Here is a 21,788-nt window from a genome sequence, read left to right as displayed (position 1 = left end):
CATGAAAAGAAGAGGATTACTAACTCCACTCTTTAGGTGAAGAAACTGAGGCTCAGGAAGCTTGTTTCTTGCATGAGATCACACAGCTAGTAAAGGGGAGAGTTGAAACCCAAACACTGGTCTTGTGATTCCAAATCACAGGCTTTTCTCATGGATCTATTCTACCGTTTTCTTATGTTTATCAGGCTTCCTTTGCATATTGTTTTTAAATTCAATTTCATATATTTGAAGCAACAGGGCACCACATTTCAGACCTCTGAAGACTTCGTATACAAGGTTTCTATTCTTTCATTTGTTCAACATATTAGCCACTTATGAGTAGCTACAGTACATCAGGGGCTCTGGTGCATCAGCTCATTTACTCCTCCCAATAACCCTATAAGAGGTGTTATTCTTTATCCCATCTCATAGATGTATGAACTGAAGCTTCCAACCCATGTTTGTTGTACTTTGAAGCTGGGACTCTTGAGTACCACCATACACACCTATTAGATTCCAGGTACCATGTTGGGTGCTGGGATTCTAAGGGTGAACAAGACACAGAACAGCCACCCAGGACTTAAGTCTAGTTGGGTAACCACTTAAGCTCTGCCTCCTGTCAGATCAGCTGCAGCATTAGATTCTCATAGGAGTGCGAACACTATTGTGAACCGTGCACATGAGGGATCTAGGTTGCCCGCTGCTTATGAAAATCTAATGCTTGATGATCTGAGGTGGAACAGTTTCATCCCGAAACCATCCCTCATCCTCCACCCTACCCCCAGTCTATGGAAAAATTGTCTTCCACAAAACTGGTCCCTGGTGCCAAAAAGGTTTAGGACCGCCGAGGTAATAAACACAAAATAATCATATCACAGGGCTGTGAAGGCAATGATATTGACAGCAGGGGTGGAAAAATTCCTGACTGCTGTTTTCTTGGGGAGCATATAGAGTTTGAAGATCATTTGTTTTTCTCATTCTGAAAATTAGAGGAAAACAAGCATTTTAACTATCAGGTTCATCTGTGACAGCGCTTTCCTGACTTTATGAATCACCTGGGAATTTTGTTACAATGCAGGTTATGATTCAGTACGTCTAGCCGTTGAGGGGTGTGAGAATCCGCCTTTCTAAAATCTTCTAGGTGATGCTGCTGGTCTAAAGACCACACCTTGAGTTGCAAGGCACACACACACACTCTCTGTGCTTCAGGCTCTTTCTAGAATCTGCTATGGTGACAGATTAACATGCGCTTGGTAAAGGAGCCATTCACTCACATGATCCCAACTGAGATAAACTAATGTATAGCTTAGACCTTACTACCAAACAATGGACACAAACATATAGCTTAGACCTTACCCCCAAGCAAGCAAAACTAAGGATGTGAAGTCCATCCTTGGTGCACACCACTTTTTTCTTGCTCCTCCTTCCTGCAATTATTCCTAGCCCCCAGTGGTAACATACTCACCCAGAGTTCCAGGTTCTTAGGGAAGTTCTCCCCTTTTGAAGATGATATGTATTTAATTGATTAACTAGTTTGTGCAAATGCATTAGAGAGTGTTTTAACAAAAATTTGTTATTTTTTCCTCTGCTGACTCAAATGGCTGTCTCTGGATCTTGTTACATGAGCACCCTCAGTGAAGCCACTGTTATTTTCTTGTGTAGGCAATTGGATCAGATGAAGCTGCCACACATATATCCAGTGTGCTTGAGAGATAGGAAGATGCTTGGAAGTCCTGCCAAATTCTGTGACTAGCAAACAATGAGCTAAAAAACTTAAAAACTGCATTACTTGATTCCACAACTGTATACCATACTGGGACCATTATTCTGCCTAAAAGTGTCAGGCTCAAAATGAATTTGAGATTGCCCATACTTTATAATAACATTCCTCTCTTGGTGCACTTGCATTTTCAAACTGAGGGAAAAGAAGCGCCCACTGATGCTAGAATATCAGGAGTCCTCACCTACAGGGAGATGTGTCCAGAAAATGTATTTACCTAAGTTTTTAAAACCCAATGCATGTTTCTATGGAAATATGAGTTGGTTAGAGGTTAACATACTGGTATAAGTTAATACTTTTATGGGTTAAAGGGATCTTTGAGGGCTACCCTGAGAATTCAACTATCATTTGTAAAGCTGCCTGGTATAAAGAGCATTGGGACTTGGGGTATCATCCCCTGGGTTTGAGGTTTTCCCAATTATGTGACTTTGGGCATGCCACTTAAACTCTGGGACCCAGTTTTTACAGTTTTCTGTAAAGTACAGCTCCTTAAAGAGCTGCTGTTACATATAAAAATTCTTTAGCAACTATAAATTTCTATGTACATGGAAAATACTTATTAAATTTATCATTATTATTATTGAATTTGAAAATATCTCCTGATTATAGGGATATAAAATATTACAATAGAATTAAATCTAGGGAAAACTAACAGCTTAAACAGAATGGGAGGGAATACCTATCTTCAGGGATCATGTGGATGCGGCCTCGATGAAAAGGGCCCCAAGAAATCCTTGGAACAGGACCTTCTCTGGCCTTTCTGGCCCTGCCAAGGCCTTTTTTGCTGCCTCTTCTGTAATACATGACCTTGGCAGCCCCAGTTTGACCATCATTTCTCTAAGGTTGGCAGCCTAGGAAAAGAAAAAAAAAAGCAAAAAACAGAAGCCAAAAAACAAAACTATTTTTTGACCACAACTGAGACTTCTTCTGTTAGCTTAATGTTGAATAGTGCTCATAAGATTGTTGTACAGATTACGTGTTTTGTAGCTATCACTTCATCTAACAAGTGCTTAATATCTTTATTTCCTTCAAATTTTTTGGAGCCTAGAGAAGCTTGTTTTTCTTCTTTCTTGCCCCTCCCCATCCCACATGGTTTCCTTTTTCATTCCCCATGGGGACAGCAAATGTCTCCCCATCCTCCCAGTTAGTACAATGTACTGGAGAGCCAGGAAGCAGCTCAGATGATCTGCAAAGCAATGTCAAAAGCAAATGATGTGCTATAAACATTTAAAACTTTGCAATTACTAGTGGTTTCAGTAAAAAAAAAAAAAAAAAAAAAGAAAATCCATGCCTCAGTTTTTCCTCTATAAAATGGCATTAAATGAGATCATCTCCAAGGTTGCTCTCAGCTCTAAAACACTAGGATTCATTTAATTTGTTATTCGACATAAATAATGAAGGGCATATATTTCAAGAATTATGTACTGATTTTGTGAGACCCTCTCTGTCAACCCTCTGATTATGCCAGACATTCAAAATGGGTAGAACACAACTAGCTTCATTTGTTCCCATCAGGAGTGAGAAAGTGTCATGGAGCTGTACCTCTGGTCCAGAGTACAGTAACACCACGGCCTGGCCAGGAGAAGGCTTTGCTCATCACAGACCCCTCTTTGGGCATCATTTGGCATTAACTTTTAGGTGCCAGGGCCATAAGAGAAGAAATGATTCCGACTTCTGTTCACAACTGTTGATGTATGGTCTTTCTATACTCACAAGCATGACTCAACTACAGTCTTAAAAAGGGGAAGTCCCTTTGATTAGGCTCAAAGAAAAGGTTGTTATAGTTGGTTCACTCCCTGTGTTTTAAGTCTATTTTCTTCTTGTTCTTGCATGATCTAGTGCCTCAGGCAGGTGCTGTATCAGTGCCTGGGCCAGGCACAATGGCTCATGCCTGTAATCCCAACACTTTGGAAGGCAGAGGCAGGAAAATCCCTTGAGCCGAGGAGATCTAGACCACCCTGGGCAACAAAACATGACCTTGCCTCTATTAAAAGTAAAAAAAAAAAAAAAAAAAAAGGCGGGAATGGTGGTATACACCTATATTGCCAGTTACTTGGGAGGGTCACTTGAGCCCGGGAGTTTGAAGCTGCAGTGAGCTATGTCTGTATCACTGCAATCCAATCTGAGCAAGAGTGAGATCCTGTCTCACTCATTCATTCATTTATAAATAAATCAGTGTCCAGTAATTGTGCAGTAGCACAAAATCACAAGATTCAGGCCTTAGTGTCTTGACCTGTATTTTGAGGCAGCACAATCCAACTCACTCCTGGGCTCCATCAGTGGTTCTGCTTTTTCCATGTCTTCCCTTATCGCTAATGGGATATGATATATGGACTCTTTATTTGTCAGCCTATGAGGGAGAGACAACCCAACACTAAAAACCACATGCACAGGGAAACGTGAGCTCAGGAAGTTTTCTGAGTGGGTGCTTTTTAAAATGTGTCTGATCTGCCGGAAATCACACCGCTTTCGTATTTTGAACAGCTATAATGGCATTCTCCATATGTTAAATGGATGTTTAAACTTATCACTGCATCTGCCTATTCCAATTTAAAGAATTCAATGTGCTAATGGACTATCAAAACTGCATGTTTTCCTCACGTTTAAAATGTAATTTATGGATTCCCCAAAGGAAAAAAATATAGTTCCCACTCTATTTTCTATTATATTTTATTATAAGAAAATGAATTAACAAACACCTTTCACAGCACTGGGATATTTTGTGGAGAGTGGATGGGTAAAGTTATGTAGGATGCTTTCATTTTATTATGAGACCAGAGGTCACAAAAGTGAATTGAGTTGGCTTAGATTGTACTTTAAGCACAGCTGGGGCAAGAACTAGGTCCCTTGACAATCAGTTCAAATTAACTTATTGTTCATATAATAAAGAACAATAAGAATGATGTGCTCAACTTGCAAAAGTTTTGAGTGAAGATCATTGCACAGACTTTGAACTAAGAGGGGTAGTTGGAGACAACCATTCTTTGTCTTACTTCATGTTTTCTTTTGAATATTTTAGTAGCTATTGCTGTCTCCACTTTATCATTTCTCTAATTTTACTTGTCTGTAATACTTTTGCTGTTTTAATTTTTTTAATCTCTAGAGCCTCTACTCATGATAGTAACAATATTTACATAATTTTTCAGCTAGAGAAATCAGCGTCCAAAAGTCGCTCAACCAAAGTCACACAAAATTATTAACAGGGTGGTAACAAAGCTCAGGGCTATGAATCATTCTTTAATGTTAAAAGAAAACCCAAAACATAAAAAACGAAAAAATTCACACAGCTTTCAGATTCCAATAGCAACCCTTAAAACACCACTAGGCCTCACAAGAACATAGTGTTAAAAATCTCTTCCCATTGGGATGGGCCACAAACTCCATGGGAAAATATGACTCAAAATATGACTTGATATTATAGAGCACAGAACACAACAATTGTTTTACCTATCCCGCATGGCTTACCTGCGTCAGATTGCTCAACAAGTTATACTCTAAAGGTGCCAGATGACTCCTAACAAACCCCACCCAAGGTCCCAGGTCTGGGCAAATTACCATGAATAGCATCATCACAGACACTCAGATAAGAGATTCCAGAAAGACAGCCTGACATACTCTTCCACAAAAGAGATGAACCTAACTCCAATTCACAATGCTCCTGGAGCTGTGTCCATGGTGATGGGTAAGTATAATATAGCGGTAGACTCCCAAGAGGAGAAAAAAGGCCACGCATTCTGGAATATGATTATACTCCCTTTAGTCTTGCAGTCTGTGTGGCTAATTGTGAGAGCTGTGGGTAAGCAGTACCAGGAGCCTCTCGTTCCTTTCAAATAAGGCAAATAATAGTTCTGTAGGACAGACGTTTCTTGTTTCTGAGCACAACTTGGTTCCAAAGCTCTACTCGGTCTCTCCTGTTACTCAAAACAGGCTCAGTGAACGAACACAGAAACAGAAAACCAAATGATGCACACTCTCACTTAGAAGTGGGAGCTAAACAGTGGGTACACATAGACGTAAAGACGGGAACAATGGACACTGGGGACTACAAAAGGGAATTGGGAGAGAGAGAGAAGAGGAAGAGAGGGGAGGAAAGAGGCAGGAGGAGGTGGACAAGGGTTGAAAAACTACCTGTTGGATACTATGCTCATTACCAGGGTGATGTGTTCAGTTGTACCTCGAACCTCAGCATCATGCAATATACCATTGTAACAAATCTGCATGTGCCCCCCTGAATCTAAAATAGAAGTTGAAAAACAAAAAGCAGAGGCTCAGGAGCTGATCCTCCCCCCATCAGATTATCTGTCCCCAAGTTCACAAAACATTCCTTCCACAATGAAAAGACCAAGGGATCCATGAATACAGCGAAAGCTCCCTATAGTTCAGTTATTGCTTAATTTTTTGTGTGTTTCTTTTTATAGAGATGGAGTCTCAGTATATTGTCCAGGCTGGCCTTGATTTCCTGGCCTCAAGCGATCCTTCTGCCTTGTCCTGCCAAAGTGTTGGGATTATAGGCATGAGTCACCATGCCCAGCCTGATAAATCTTAATATAACTTAGAAACATCAGTGTAGAAGTACTGTGCTTTTGACTGTCTAAAATTTTAAAACAAACATCTAAAAAAATTCCCTAGGGCATCAGTGGTTTACACTGAACGTAGCGCTAGATGAAATTTATCATAGATGAGAGTCAGGATTGGAGAAAAAAGTCACATCTGAGATTTTTAGATAAGAAGTGTGGATTTTTCTAAATGAAAAAAAATGACCTACATTAAGATTCCAGACAAAAATATCCCAACACCTGTCAGAGTTAGAAATCAATTCTCCAAGAGTCCACCATATATCTTTCCTAGTGTTCCTTACCCTCTCCTGTCAGACAAGCATTCTGTTCCTTCTAAACCCTTACCAAAACCTGCCAACTGGTCAACCCTCACACCAAGCCTCAAATGCCATCCCTCCCAGAGGTATTAGTATTTAACAAAGCAGAAGAAATGAAGTTTTTGGCAGTGGACTTCCAGAAGTTATTCACAGAGAAGCATTCCCCACCAAGCATGTTTTTTATAAGAAAGACTGCAACGAAAGGGGACCCTCTAACAAACTGTAGTCCCATGGTGGAGAGCAACCTTTCTGAGTGCACAAGAAGATTCTCATTGCAATTCTTCATCTACAAATCATTGTATTGGAAAATGAAACAATTCCCAAAGTTAAAATCTTGTGTCAAGCACTGTGCTAGAATCTGGGGATGTGGAAATGAATGAAAGTTTATTGCAATCTTCAATGGATTGCCATGCAAGGGGGATGAAAAGCAAACCAAATATGGGCCACCTAACTCACCCCATTGAGATGGGTGGAGACCATGGTTAGGAGGTTAGGAAAGGCTTTCCATATCAATGTTTCTCAAATATTAATGCCAAACAACAGATTACCGGGGGATCCTCCTAAAGTGCAGATTCTGAATGAGAATGTCTGCAGAAGACCCTGAGGTTCTGCATTTATGAGATGCTCCCAGGTGATGCTGATGCCACTGGTCAATGGACCACAACTTAAAAAAAAAAAGACAGAGAGAGAGGGAATGTCTCACTCTGCTTCCCAAGCTGTAGTGCAGTAGCGTGATCATAGCTCCCTGCTGCCTTGAACACCCAGGTTCAAGTGATCCTCCTGCCTCAGCCTTCCAAGCATCTGGAACTATAAGTACGGCACCATGCCTGGCAATTTTTTCAAAATTTTTTGGTAAACATAGGGTCTCACTATGTTGCCCAGGCTGGTCTTGAACTTCTAACCTCAATAAATCCTCTTGCCTGAGCCTCCCAAAATGCTGGCATTATAGGCATGAGCCACCACACACAGGTGAACCACACATTTTGCATACCAAGAACCTGAGACAAGACAAAGTCCAAGCTTGAATCAACTAGGACATCCAGGATAGAAGACCGAGAGAAGGCACAGGCAAAGACCCCAAAGCTAGAGACATTAAGCTGGATAAAGGGAACATTACAAATGCTAAGGGAACATTTTATGTAAGACATTGTTGAATGTAAATACAGACAAGAAGAACTTTACACAATAATAAAAATAGTTTTTGTAATAGTTGCATGAGGGTGGTTAACATTAGGAGTACTTCCTCCCACTCCCCTCCTTCCTTTTTTGGTTTGGGCTCTCACTAATGAACTTATGTTTATTAAAACAACAAAAGGATAAATAGATTTCTCCTTTGTGTGCTAGTAGTGGAAATTCTGCCCTGGGATGTTTTAAGAAAATGACTGTGCAGGCTCTTCCAATTTGGGGTTGTATGATTGGATAAGATAAAAAGCTACTTAATAACTAATCACAATTATGTAATAATGTGGTAATAATCATTTCCTGAGAGAGAGTGCAGGCAAGATTATACAGAATTCTAGAAGAAAAAAACAAAAGAAAAGAAAACCTGCCTTTTGATTTCACAGAGCAATGTCTGCTGAGGAATCCATTGCTTGGAGCCCTGGAGCACATCACTGTTCCCCAGCCATGAGGAGAACTTTAAGGTTCTGAGGAGCAGAAGGGAGTGTGTGGCTGACGTGGACATATATAGCCAGCAGCTACATGTAACATACATGCTCTGTGGCTTCATTCCCAGTGTGTAGATCACCCTTCTTCAAAATCAGGCATGTTGCAGGAAACCACATCCTATAATAGTCAACTGCAGCCCTATATGAAGCAGATCATTAAACAAGTCTTAGGACATCACTGTACGTCCTACAGTCATAAAGATGTACACAGATGTTATCTGATCTTGTAACTCTTGTCAGACTTCGCTTTCTCTATTTGACAGATGAAAAAACTCAATTTGAAGGATGTTGATGAAGGATGTTAATAACATCTCTAAAGTCACCCAGTTAGCAGCAGAACCAGTTTTAAAACTCAAGCTACTTGGCATTCTTGCTCCAATTTCAGAATTCATTCTATGATACAATACTATAATTTCTAAAAGACAGGAAAGCAGACATAAAGAAGTGAGGTTTTAGAACTCAAAAAGAATTATCTATGGACTCTTTTTGTTACTTTTAAAAACTTTAAATTTCACAAGAATAGTTTGGAATCTCCCATAGACCCAACTGGATCTCCTTTTGTCCAGTTTTAGAGGAATCTGGGGATACAAGTATATGAATATGTGGTATTGGTATATAAATACTGTTCTGTAAGTTACAATAATAAAATGAAAAACAAAAGAGATTTGCTGGTGATCTGAGTGCCAGGAATTATGATCCACCTAATTTACAGGTTAATCAAGGAAAATCCAGAATTATATATTAGCCTGTTCATTTATTCCATGAGGTCTTTGAAAAAGTTGACTTATAGGCCAGGTGCGGTGGCTCATGCCTGTAATCCCAACACTTTGGGAGGCCGAGGTGGGTGGATTGTTTGTTCCCAGGAGTTCGAGACCAGCCTGGGCAACATGGTGAAACCCCGTCTCTACAAAAAATACAAAAATTAGCTGGGCATGGCAGCATGCAGCTATAGTCCCAGATACTCAAGAGGCTGAGGTGGGAGGATCACTTGAGCCTGGGAGGTGGAGGCTGCAGTGAATGGTGATTGTACCACTGCACTCCAGCCTGGGCAACAGAGAGAGACCCTGTCTCAAAAAATAATATTTTTTCACATTGATTCATAATATTATAAATGGCCATTTAGGAATTTTATATGAATAAAATGGAAATACAATGATTTCATACCTGGAAGATATTTTATCTATCTTCTAGGGGGTTAAAAGAGACAGCTTATTAAGGATTATTCAACAAGGTATTAAACAAAAATACCAATTTAATGTGTGGAAAAAGTGAATCCTCTAGTTCAGGGCTTCTCAAACTTCAACACGCATGTGATTCACCTGTGTTCATTTGTTAACGTGAAGATTGTGATTGGGGAAGTCTGGAATGGAGTCTCAAATTCTGCATTTTAAGACACTCCTAGGTGATGCTGATGCCTCATCTAGGTAGCAAGGCATCATTGCAATCACTTGGAATCTCACTTTGATTAGGAACATACTGTTGACATCGTTGATGGATTTCTCATGTTAGCCCTACTTGAACTAACAATATACCTATTGAAGTATTTATTCTATTAAAAAATTGGTGAAAGAATAGAAAGTACTTTAAAATATCTTACAAAATTAAAAACATTGCTAATTTTCTAGTTCTTGTTTTACTTTTTATTTCCTCTCAATCTAGTAAATTGTGCAAAAAAACTTCAGTTAATGGCTTTTTTTCCTTGAGTAAGTGAAGGCAGCTAAGACATTTTTAATTCATTATCTCATAAATATAACCTCAGATCTTTTACAGACCAGGAAAGCTAGTCATTTTGAAATCTATTGTATCATAAAAGTAGGATTGCTGAATTTAGCAAAAATAAAAATTAAAAACCAAATAACAGAAAAATGAAATGCTCAGTTAATTCAAATTCAGATACACCAAAACAAATCTTATCTAAAATCAAATTTAACTGGTTATCCTGCATTTTACCTGGCAACTCTACAGAAAAGCATACCTCCAAATTTATCTTGAAGTGCTGAAGGTCAGGTGCTGGGATGGAGAATTAACAGACCCACTGACCGAGTTGCCTAAACATTTCAACTGTAGAGGGAATTGCTTCTGGATTTGCCAATACTACATCACACACTTGGTTATTACTGCTGCTAATTTGTGGAAGCTCCTTTTAGGGGATCTGTGCCCAGGAGACCACACTTTTAAAAAAATCACAATAGAGGGCAAGCTGGAAGTGAAACTACCGAAGAGCCTTACTTATATCAATAGCGTCTTTCCCGGGAAGAACCAGGTGGAGCAAAACCAGCAAGGTCTTTCTTGTAAGGTCTCTCTTTTTTTCCACTTTATGGAGAGCTGAAGCTGCTCAGTGGGAGAGCTAAGATAGTAGTTTCTTGGTAAGAATCATGAAAGGTTTTTCTTCTTCATATCAAATGTTGTTAAATTGATCAGATTTAAGATGATCTTTGAAAGAAGGAAGGAACGTTCAAGGTGGTTTCAGGCCCTGTCATCTCTTACCAGTTTTTGAAAGCCTTTACCAGCTTTTAAAGGAGCAAGCTAATCCTCTCATTTCATTTTTATGTATGATGTGCAGTAAATAGTTTCAGGTACTTCAGCAAAACAAAGGAATCTACTCATTTCTAGGTACCTTTTCTTGTGTATTTACCTACCTCCTACCTACTTCAAATACCGATAGTCATTCCTGCCATGATGTTTATAATAAGTTGGGACCAAGGTTTGCCTGTTAGCAGAAGACTTTTGGATGTTTTGCCTCTGTTTAAGCAATTGATAATTATGAAGTCCCTGCTCTAGTAAAAATATAGTAAGCCTAACTATTTTCTAATTTTAGAAATTAATTTGGAGAGAACTATTAGTGCTACATGTATAGAATAGGCTATATATTTCATACCTGGAAGATACTTTACCTCTCTTCTAGGGGGTTAAAAGAGACAGCTTATTAAGGATTATTTCAACAAGGTATTAAACAAATATGTAATATATTTTATATATTACATATATAATATATATTTATATATTACATATTATATGATATATATTTATATATCACATATTATATAATATATATTTATATATTATTATAATATATCATATGTTATATATTATTATAATATATATGTTATATATTATTATAATATATCATATGTTATATATTATAGTTTATAGTTTATATATTATATTTATAATATATAATATATATATTATATATTATATTTATAATATATAATATATATATTATATATTATATAATATACAATATATATATTATATATTATATAATATACAATATAGTTATATAAATATAATATATAATATAGTTTACATATTATATTTATAATATATTATATATTATATATATATAAAATAATATATTATATATTATATTATATATATAATATAATATATTATATATTATATTATATATATAATATAATATATACAATATATAATATAATATATAATATATTATATTATATAATATATTATATTATATATTTTATATTATATAATATATAATATTATATATTTTATTTTTATTATATATATTTTATATATTATATTTATATATTATTTTTATATATTTATATATTATAAAATATATTTGTATATATTTATATATAATATAGTATATAATATTTATATATTATATAATATATATTTTTATAATATATTTTATTTTATATATTATATAATATATTTTATATATTATATATTTTATATATTATATAACATAAAATATATTATATATTTTATATATAATATATTTTATATATTATATATTTTATATATAATATATTTTATATATTATATAACATAAAATATATTATATATTATATAACATAAAATATATTATATATTATATAACATAAAATATATTATATATTTTATATGTTATATAACATATAAAATATTATATATTTATATTTTTAGTATTATATAATTATATAATATATAACTATATATTAATATATTATTATATATAGTATGTAATATATTAAATAATATATTATTAAAATGTGAATGTAGATTATGATAAAGGAGGGCAGTTAATTTTACTTGGATTGGTTCCTTACCCAGTCAGCATGGGAGTTATACATCAATCTCCAGCCATCCCTTTCCTCCTTTCCCCCATCAGAAGCACTAGGGGTTAACGTGGAAGTTAGTGACCTAACATGCCATTACTATCACTGGTGTTAGGATGGGATTAAATACAATTACAAGTTTTTGCTTTTAGAAATAATTTAGCTGATGTTATGTACCTCAAAACTTACGTTAATTATAATGTGTTTTTTGATTTGGTGAAAAAGGAATCCCTTTGTCTTTTCAGTCTATAAATTGCAGCTCATTCTGGAAGGGGTGAAGAGAACACCAGTTATATATAACTCTTAAAGTTGCTCTATTATCTAAATGAAACTCATAGCAAACTCCCATTCTGTGGCATTAACAATTCATCAAAAGGAAGAAGTTCTTTTAGCTGAAGGAAGTTTTATGACAAGCAACACTTACAATAAAAAATTGAGACTAGTTCCCATCAATGTAGTTATTATTTTCAAATATCCTTTCTAGAATCTTAATGGTAATCTTTCCAGCTTTGAGCAGACTGGAAATAATTTAAGATGAATTTTGAATTTCTGGATTATAATCTGGTCTACTTTTGAATTTGGAAATTTTAAACAAAATTGTCCACAGCATAATGTCAGCTTTAGCAGTGTTAGTAACCGTGTATATCCTTTTAGTATTTAGTGATCCTTGCCATTACAAGTAGCAAGCAATTTACAGTAAATGCATGTTTTAGAAAAGGAGTGCTATTTCCAGGCCAGACACTGTGGCTTATGCCTGTAATCCCAGCACTTAAGGGGGCTGAGGCGGGTGGATCACTTGAAGTCAGGAGTTTGAGACCAACCTGGCCAACATGGTGAAACCTCATCTCTACCAAAAACATAAAAATTAGCCGGATATGGTGGCATGTGCCTGTAATCCCAGCTACTTGGGAGGCTGAGGCATGAGAATCACTTGAACCTGGGAGGTGGAGGTTGCAGTGAGCCAAGACAGTACCATTGCACTCTAACCTGGGTGACAGAATGAGACTTGGTCTCAAAATAAAATAAATGAAATTAAATGAAAAGAAATAAAATAGTAGGGCTATTTCCAAAAACAGCAAGTTTCCACATCATGTTAAGTGTTGGAAGTGACAGTGAATAAAAAGTTTCTAAATCTGAATAAATTTCCAAATTATGTCTTCATATACTAAAATAAGCATAGGAAGGCCCTCACAGGTTGAAAAAACATTGACTAAAGAGTTAAGGCAAGTGTTCACATTAGGATTGCTCTTAAGGACATGTTTTCACATTTTCTAGAGCTCTGGAAACGGTTACTAGTTAGTATTGCACTATTTGGGCTTGTTTGGATTCAGAAGTTTTACAGTTGACCGTATCACTAAAATTCATATATTTAGAAATATACTGCTTTTCGCAAAGTACATACACAAGAAGAATATGAAAATAAACTATCTTTTATTTTTAGTGATTAGTTGACCTATGGTTGGTAACTACATTTTTTCTTAACCTTTTCTAAGGGAAACAAAAACAAAAACAAAAAAGACTAAGGCTTTAAGTGAACAAATTTTTATTTAAAATTTGAAGTATGTTAAACTGGGGTAAATCAGAGGTCTGCAGTAGTTTTGCTGTAAATATTTTAGGTTTTGTGGGCATACAGTCTTTGGTTCAACAATTCCATGCTGCCACAGCCATAGACAAGATGTAAACAAACAAGTATGGCTGCAGTCCAATAAAACTTTATTTTGGACACAGAAATTTGAATTTCATGTAATTTTCAAGTGTCCTCTAGTATTTTCTTCTTTGGATATTTTTCCATGACTAAAAAAATATAAAAACCACTCTTGGCTTCAAGGTCATACAAAACAAGCAATGGGTTATAGTTTGCTGATTCTAGAAACAGATGGAGTCGTGAGTTTTATCTCAACACAGCTTAATGTAATTGTATGAAGTTTGCCAGTGATTTTAGAAGTGATAGATTACTAGATTAGGTTTATTGGAAGCAAATTTACCAATTAATTCTATTCTATAAAGCTCTGGTTTAAGAAATATAATTTTGGATACTTCTCAAATCTTGCAAATTTGGAACAAAAATTTTGTGAAATTAAGAGATTTGAAATACCAAAGCCAGACTTTTTCTTATCTCAGATTAAAGAGTATAAATTCTCTTTCAATGTTTAAGATGGTTGCGGGTGAATTATGTAGAGTTGGATTTATTCTTCGTGGCCTCCAATAGGTGAATGCTGCAAGAAGAGATGGGAATGTGCTTTGAGGGAGACAGTCAAGTGTAAGTTGGAGGACTCCTTAGTGAAGAAGCACTAGGTATTTAAGATTTCTATGGGTGGTGGAACTAATCTCTAAGGGTCTGTAGTGAAGTTTATGCTTCTATGACTTGGAAAAAGACTTGAAGAACTTATTATTTTGGTTACCTAGATGAAAAGCTAAAGATGGCTCAACATGTTTGGGGTTGGTTAATTCCAAAGGTTAATTATTTAAGAATAAAGTTGGCCGGGCGCAGTGACTCACGCCTGTAATCCCAGCATTCTGGGAGGCCGAGGTGGGCGGATTACGAGGTCAGGAGATCGAGATCATCCTGGCTAACACGTTGAAACCCCGTCTCTACTAAAAATACATAAAATTAGCCAGGTGTGGTGGCGGGGGCTGTAGTCCCAGCTACTCGGGAGGCTGAGGCAGGAGAATAGAGTGAACCTGGGAGGCAGAGCTTGCAGTGAGCCGAGATGGCGCCACTGCACTCCAGCCTGGGAGACAGAGTGAGACTCCGTCTCAAAAAAAAAAAAAAATAAATAAAAATAAAAAAAAAAAATAAATAAAGTCGCTGAGACAATGATGTATATGAGTAGTTTCTACTTTTTAAGGAGAAAGGAGTTAATTCAAACTAGTCTTGTGTAGCCAAAGCCTCCAGGCAAGACTACATGAAAACCTGTATGTTGCAATAAACACTGGAAAAGGAGTCAATAATCCAGGAGTCAATGCCTTGGCATTGCCAGGATCACCTAACTTATTGGATTCACTTGTGTAATTTGGCACCTGGGAATACCATTTACCCAATTATGATTAAGCCCTGATATGTTAGTAAGACCAAAGGGCTATATAAATTTAAGGTAATAAGACTGGGTGGTTCTCGTCTGTTCTCAAACACTTTAGAGCTTATAAAATAGAGATGACACACTTTCTTCTACTCTACCCCTTTTAGCTACTTGTAAATATTACAGAGCTAGGTATATATCATACTCTGAGAAATAGTTTCTGATTAATATGGAGTAATCCGATTAGTCTTTTTTTTTTTTTAAGATGGCATCTCCCTCTCTGTCCCCCAGGCTGGAGTGCAGTGGTGAAATCTTAGATCACTGCAACTTCTGTTGCCTCCCCAGATTCAAGCGATCCTCTCACCTCAGCCTCCCGAGTAGCTGGGACTACAGGTGTGTGCCACCTTGGCTGGCTAATTTTCATATTTTTAGTGGAGACGGGATTTCACCATGTTTGGCCAGGCTGGTCTTGAACTCCTGACCTCAGGTGATTCACCCGCCTCGGCCTCCCAAAGTTAATTCTATTTTTCTAAACTACTTTATCTCTTATGCCTCCCAAAAAGGTGTTAACATTTCAGAAGTGCCTCCCCAGTTCTTTTTCTAAGCTACAAAGAAGTGAGAATGAATGCATTTATATCATTTTGGTCTTTGGAAATTCTTATTAACATTTAGTTTTGGTTGTACTTATCACAAAATACATCCAACTTCTTACTTTTAATATGGTGGCTATTTAAATGTACTTATGCTATTTTAATGGGCAATACACAGGTGAAAATAAAAGCTATTTAACTATTAATCTATTCTACAATGTTTCTCCTAGCTCAATAAATTCATATGTGGTTTTTCATAATAATGGGTAGAGAGTGAAATTTTGTGAAGTGATTGTTTTGGCCCATTAGAGTGTGGTTAAATGTGATAACAATTATTAGTTATGCTCAAAATGCTAAATTGTTGGGTATGAAATGTAAGTGAACAAATAAGCTATCATAGCAAGTAAGAATTGTGACAGGACTTTGGCTTCTATATATCTGGAATGTCTGTCTTGGAAAACAGCAAACTGAATGTACTCAGGATGCTTTGGTTTTCAATGTTCTCCCCACCTTTTGATACTCTTCAGTACGAACAAGCAGTATCAATAACTAACAGAGTCTGTGCCCCTGCTTTGGGGGCTACAGACACTGAGGCCCCTATGAGAAAATAGAATACCAAGCAGGCTACAATAGATGCTCTAAGAGAGGTTCAGATAAAGTTCAACGGCCAAAAATATTGAGTGCTTGCTGTGTGCAAGACACTGTTTTTCCTCCTTAAAGAAATTGAGGGCTGGTGTGGTGGCTCACTCCTGTAATCCCAGCAGTTTGGGAGGCCGAGGCGGGTGGATCACCTCAGGTCAGGAGTTCAAGACCGGCCTGGCCAACATGGTGAAACCCCATCTCTATAAAAATACAAAAATTAGCTGGGCATGATGATGTGTGCCTGTAATCCCAGCTACTCAGGAGGCTGAGGCAGGAGAATCGCTTGAACTTGGAGGCGGAGGTTGCAGTGAGCCGAAATCGTGCCAGCCTGGGCAACAGAGTGAGACTCTGTCTCAAAAAAAAAAAAAAAAAAAAAAAGAAAAAAAGAAAAAGAAAAAGAAAAGAAAAGAAATTGAGGAAGGGGAAGAAAGCATTTAGACAACAGTGCAGAGAGTGATAGTGATATTAAAAATAGTGAAGAGGTATTAAAACTGAAAGAAGAAAAAGAAAGTTTGTTTTTTGATGACTCTAAGATAACCTGTTAAAGATACAGAGAACCAGAGATAACAGGTTATCCTGGAGTAATCCTTTTGGGATGACAGTTTTAAAGGCAAGAAACCTTTGGTTAATAGCCAACATGAGGTTTTATATAAAATGTTAAGTGTAACCATTTCTATTTAAATAGATCATTTAATTCACTCCTGGATGTATAATCAAGTAGTATTTGACTTTTTTGTATGCAAAATTTATGTGTTACATATTCATCCTTTCTGCTTCACATAACTGAAATAACCCAAACCAGTTTACACTTTCCCAACAGTTTTTTTTTTACATGCTTCCCACCAAGAAAGTTACAGGATGTCTAGTTAGCTTTGTGTTTCCCCTTCTAACAGAAGAGAGCATTATATGAAACAGGCAGAATGGTGTGCTACAAAGGGAGTGGCTCCTGCAAGCAAGTAGATCCTGATCAGATATTAAATGTGCTTTCAAAGGAGTGCAGTTTGTGCGTGTCAACAAACTACTCGCTGTAATTACTTCCTATTCACTGGGATCGCTGTGCAGCCTGCTGACTCACCAGGCTGCTGGAGTATGTTTCTGCTGGGTTTTCCTACTGACTGCTACACATGAGTCATCACAGGAATGGAAGTTTCTATCCGTCTCCCTTAACAACAGTGCAGAAACCAGGCATTGAAGTAAGCTTCGATTTTTCCAATCAGACCCTAGCCAGGGAAGGGAAAAATGTTGTGGTAGGTGTCACCACCAGCTAGGCTGCTAGATGACAGTTCCCCGCCCCAGGGTGTTAGTCATCGGCACTCCAGTTTCAGCGTCTTTTCTCTCACCCACCCAAGTAGTTAAAGTGGCATCTTGTCTTGCAATGCCTGCTGCTGCTGGCCGCTGAACTCTTCCTTTGCTGTAGAGTTTCCCCAACTTGGCTGCACAATGAAGTTACCAGGAGTTGTTTTTGCTTTTAAATACTGTGCCTATTTCTCACTCCCAAACAACCTGATTTAAATAGTTTGGGATGTGATCAGGACATCAGGAGTTCTCAAAGCTCCCCAGATGATTCCACTATGCAGCAAAATTTGAGAACCAGTGCTTTGAAGAAGCATAGCTCTACCCACGCAAGGAAAATTTACCAGTTAAGCTTATCTACCAATCACTCGGTGAGCTCCCGGACCTCTTATCTTACCCCTAACTGATGTCTTTAATCAGTTTGGCAGAAAAGAACGAAAGCAAAGTAAGGAAGCATTTCATTTCCAGAGGGGACACTGGCTAACCAAGAGCCATACCCCTTTTTGCTTGATAAAAATTTGGCCAAATTTAGCGTTCAGGAGAAGCAGGGGAAATGTTGCCATTCTTCAGATTACCTTTTGATCTCTGTTCTGTTTCATTCCACAGTGTCCTATTCAGCAAAAGTGTAAATCGCGGGTCCTCAGATTAGAAGTAGGTGCTGCGTCTGACCACAATCGCAACCGGTCTGCACACTTCACCCCAGCTGGGACCGAACCTCCGCCTCGCAGCGCGGCCCCAGGGTCGATACTATGCTAATCAAGGAAGTTCTTCCGTTTCGGTGCGCGCGGGCGCGGGTTTGAGCGCTTAACCCTTCATTCTACATTGACAGCACGATAGTATTTTTAGTGACCTCTTCCTGCCTAGCGGGTCTACACTATTTTCCTTTTGTTCTTCTTTTTTTGGAAAAGGAGATGTGAACAAGTGATAGAGAAGACAATCAGGGAGGGGACAGCAGTGTTGGCTGGTGCGGAGGTGAAGGAAAGGCTAATGTTCGTAATATTAATTACTCCCAGCGCTACTGACCCAGCGAGGACTAGCAGGAGGGGCTTGGGGGTTAAGACAAAGGCTTCTCCTGATCAAATGGCTGCAGCGCCCCTTCTCCGAGGTTACGGCTCTGCCCTTGGCACTGTATTGACGAAGTCACTGGAGGAGTGACCAAACCCACTAGCCCTTTTGGGGTCTGAAAATCAGCTTTATCGAGCGCCCCAGGTTCAGAGGGGACCGCTTTCCGCGTCCACCCCTCTCCTGGCTCTTTGTGGGATTTCTGGCTTCCGCATAGCCCTTCTAAGGGTAGACCGAAGAATTTCCCACTAAGCCGAGTGCGAAGTCGCTGAGTAGCCCTCGCCCTGCGCTCCCGGGGCTCCCTGCAGAAGAGATGCTTGGGCGCAGAATAACAACCCGCTTCCTTTTGCACCCACCCGGCTCCTGAGTCCCGGGAGCGCGGATGGTGGCCGGCGTCGGAGTGGGAGAGTGGTGGCTGCCGAAGGGGAAGTGCCCGGGGTCCAGGGGATGCTCCCAAGCGCGCGAGCGCCAGCGCGCTGCACTTCCTGATCTGCCCCCAAGCGCGCAGCCCCTGCCAGAGCCCCCAGCTCTCTCAGTGCCGGCGCCCCAGCTAGAGCCTGGAGGGTCGTGCGCCGCGGTCGCGCAGTCGCGAGCCCCCCTCCTTCACCAACGCCGTGTTCCTACCCTGGACAGCCCCAGCCTCACCCCTCAGAACCAGTCCACTTCGCTTCTGCCAGCGTGGCAGCCCCAACTCCCTCCCTCCACTTTCCTGGGGTGCACAGAGCTGGGGCACCGAACCAGAGATGTGGCCCGCGGGAGAGCGGCGGGGTGCACACCCGGAGACCGCCTAGCCGACCCTTGCACAACTTCTTGCTAGACTCTGGACCCCCGGTTCCGGTTGCTCCGAGCCCCGCGGGCTGCAGACCTCAGCGGCAGGAGGAGGCGCAGCCAGCCCCTGGCCTGGGAGGGACTGCTTCAGTGCAGGGGGTGTCGGGGTGCGCCAGGGCGGTACCGCTTTAAATGCACTTGACTCACCTGCTCCGGCGCTGTCGCCTCCTTCCTCTGCTGACAGCTGGGGGCTTTGTTTTCTCCACCCACCCGGCCGCCGTGCTCCGCCTCCTCTGTCGCACGTGACTCGCAGTCTGCCACCGCCGCCGCCGCCGCCGCTCCGGGAGTCCACCCGAGAGAGTCCGGCCAGCGCCGCCCCTTCCCGCGGGTGCGGGTGCGGGTGCGGGTGCAGGTGGGCGCCCCACTGGGCAGGTCCGAGCCGACCCGCCTGAAGACGCTGTCTCAGGCCAAAGGAAGCCAGGCTGAATTCGTGACAGGGAAGAAAGTGCCAGCGGGTGAAATAAACTAAGTGGTTTGACCCCGCTCGAGAGGGAGGAGGCCGGCGCGGCTTGCAGAGGGGGCTTGAAAAGGCGCCGCCACACTGTGAATTAATTACCTGCAAACGGGGGCTTGCACACCAACTGGGGTGCATCTGCTTTTTACACCCAGTGTTTGTACTCCTACCTGGAGCACGATTGATGATAAGGGGCAAACTAGTTTTGTCATGAATATTACTAATTAAACTAGGCAATTCTAATACAATTAACAATTTAATAATAGCGTGTTTTTGGGGGGTTTCAAATCTGCTTGTTGATGCTGTTGATATTTGGGTTCTATTTGGAAAATGGAGTGCAGGCTGGAGAAGCGAACTCCAGAAGTCTACTGATGTGGGCGCTTGTCCATTTGGAACAGCAGCTATTTTTAATGAAATGAGAAAATGTTCTGGCTTCAAGACCCAGCTCAAGATCTGCTGCTTTTGGAAGTGGTCCCGACCGGTGCTGATCGCAGTGATCTCTAGTGTTTGAAACAGCAAGGATTTGTCTGAATCCTTCTGTTAGCCCTTGGAAAACGCATTATATACCTTCCCTCCTGTGCCCTACACATTGCTACTCAGGGGAAAGATTGTCCATGTCTCCCCCAGCGTTCGTTAAAGCCAAGTCTTCGTAGTGGAGTGATTTAGCACAGTGCTTCTCAAAGTTTAAGAGGGATCACCTGGGGATATTGTTGAAGCCAAATTTGAGCGTGTCGAGAGTTAGGCCTGAGATTCTGCATTTCTAGCAAACTCCCAGTTAATGGCATTGCTGCTAGTTTGAGGACCACACTTTCAGTAGAGAGGTGTTGATCGCCGCTTTGGCATTAGCCAGCCTATTTTGAGTCCTGACTACACCACTTGCAAGCTATATGATCTTAGGCAAGTTTCTCAACATTTAAGCCTCACATACTGTAAAATAGGGATGATACTAATTTCCACCTCATAGGGTTGTCTTGAAGATTAAGTGAGAAAGTCCATATAAGGCACTTAGTGTAGTGCCTGGCACACATACCTAGGGTTCAGAAAATGCTAGCTAAGTCACTGTAGAGGTCATCCTTGCAGGGGGAAAGCTGGCACCAAGTGCAGCATGGCTGCAGGGGGAGCAATGTGTGAAATGGGCACAAGGGTGAGGTAGCCTGCCCAAGAACAAGGACTGTGCCCTGTAGTGCCTAGCATGTGCCAGATGTATAGGATAAGTTTGATGAATAAATAAATGACTCTAATGTGGAACAGATCGTATGTGTTCAAAAAGTTCTGCTTCTCCTTTAAATCATGATAAATTAGTTCTGAGACATTGAATTAAAAAATCATTTTGCTTTCTATTACAGATAATGTCCAGCTGCTTGTCACATGGGTAATCTATTTTAATATCTGAGACAGTACATGGATTGTTAAGGTTTAGTACATTTTTTATCCTCAGTTAAAAACCTTGAAATTTAAATTTAAATGAATTTATTAATGAAGATATGGTATTCTTAGCTCTCAAAATGAATGGCTGTTGTCATCATAGTT

General features: G+C 39.4%; 1 protein-coding gene across 2 annotated transcripts in view, besides 5 other annotated features; it reads right to left on the bottom strand.

Moving 5' to 3' along the window:
* Positions 1–20,004, bottom strand: part of MAPRE2 (microtubule associated protein RP/EB family member 2) — a 166,444-nt gene extending 146,440 nt beyond the window's left edge. Inside the window, exon 1 of one of the 2 annotated variants that reach the window (NM_001143826.3) lies at positions 19,952–20,004. Coding sequence is in view for 1 of the 2 variants with exons in the window: in NM_001143827.3 (NP_001137299.1) it covers positions 18,490–18,513 (24 nt within the window). In the remaining variant the exon portion in view is untranslated. Of the gene's footprint in view, positions 1–18,489; positions 18,664–19,951 lie in introns of those variants that run through there. The other variant, NM_001143827.3, reaches the window with a different exon arrangement.
* Positions 17,565–18,764: an enhancer, noted in NCBI's record as "P300/CBP strongly-dependent group 1 enhancer chr18:32558231-32559430 (GRCh37/hg19 assembly coordinates)". NCBI's record gives its function as "activates an origin of replication core promoter dependent on BRD2, BRD4, P300/CBP, MED14 and CDK7 cofactors, with strong dependence on P300/CBP, by STARR-seq in HCT116 cells {active_cell/tissue: HCT116}" and the evidence as "EXISTENCE:reporter gene assay evidence [ECO:0000049][PMID:35650434]".
* Positions 17,565–19,110: a biological region, named in NCBI's record as "P300/CBP strongly-dependent group 1 enhancer GRCh37_chr18:32558231-32559430".
* Positions 18,109–18,608: an enhancer, noted in NCBI's record as "H3K4me1 hESC enhancer chr18:32558387-32558886 (GRCh37/hg19 assembly coordinates)". NCBI's record gives its function as "activates a minimal SCP1, AML or CMV promoter by ChIP-STARR-seq in naive H9 embryonic stem cells {active_cell/tissue: H9 hESC(naive)}" and the evidence as "EXISTENCE:reporter gene assay evidence [ECO:0000049][PMID:30033119]".
* Positions 18,609–19,110: an enhancer, noted in NCBI's record as "H3K4me1 hESC enhancer chr18:32557885-32558386 (GRCh37/hg19 assembly coordinates)". NCBI's record gives its function as "activates a minimal SCP1, AML or CMV promoter by ChIP-STARR-seq in naive H9 embryonic stem cells {active_cell/tissue: H9 hESC(naive)}" and the evidence as "EXISTENCE:reporter gene assay evidence [ECO:0000049][PMID:30033119]".
* Positions 19,926–20,205: a silencer, noted in NCBI's record as "silent region_9394". NCBI's record gives its function as "represses an Ori minimal core promoter by ATAC-STARR-seq in GM12878 lymphoblastoid cells {active_cell/tissue: GM12878}" and the evidence as "EXISTENCE:reporter gene assay evidence [ECO:0000049][PMID:35858748]".

Source organism: Homo sapiens, chromosome 18, assembly GCF_000001405.40.
Source record: "Homo sapiens chromosome 18, GRCh38.p14 Primary Assembly".
Classification (NCBI taxonomy): Eukaryota; Metazoa; Chordata; class Mammalia; order Primates; family Hominidae; genus Homo; species Homo sapiens.
Note: the sequence above shows the minus strand (reverse complement) of the source record. Positions and strands in the feature narration are given on the sequence as shown.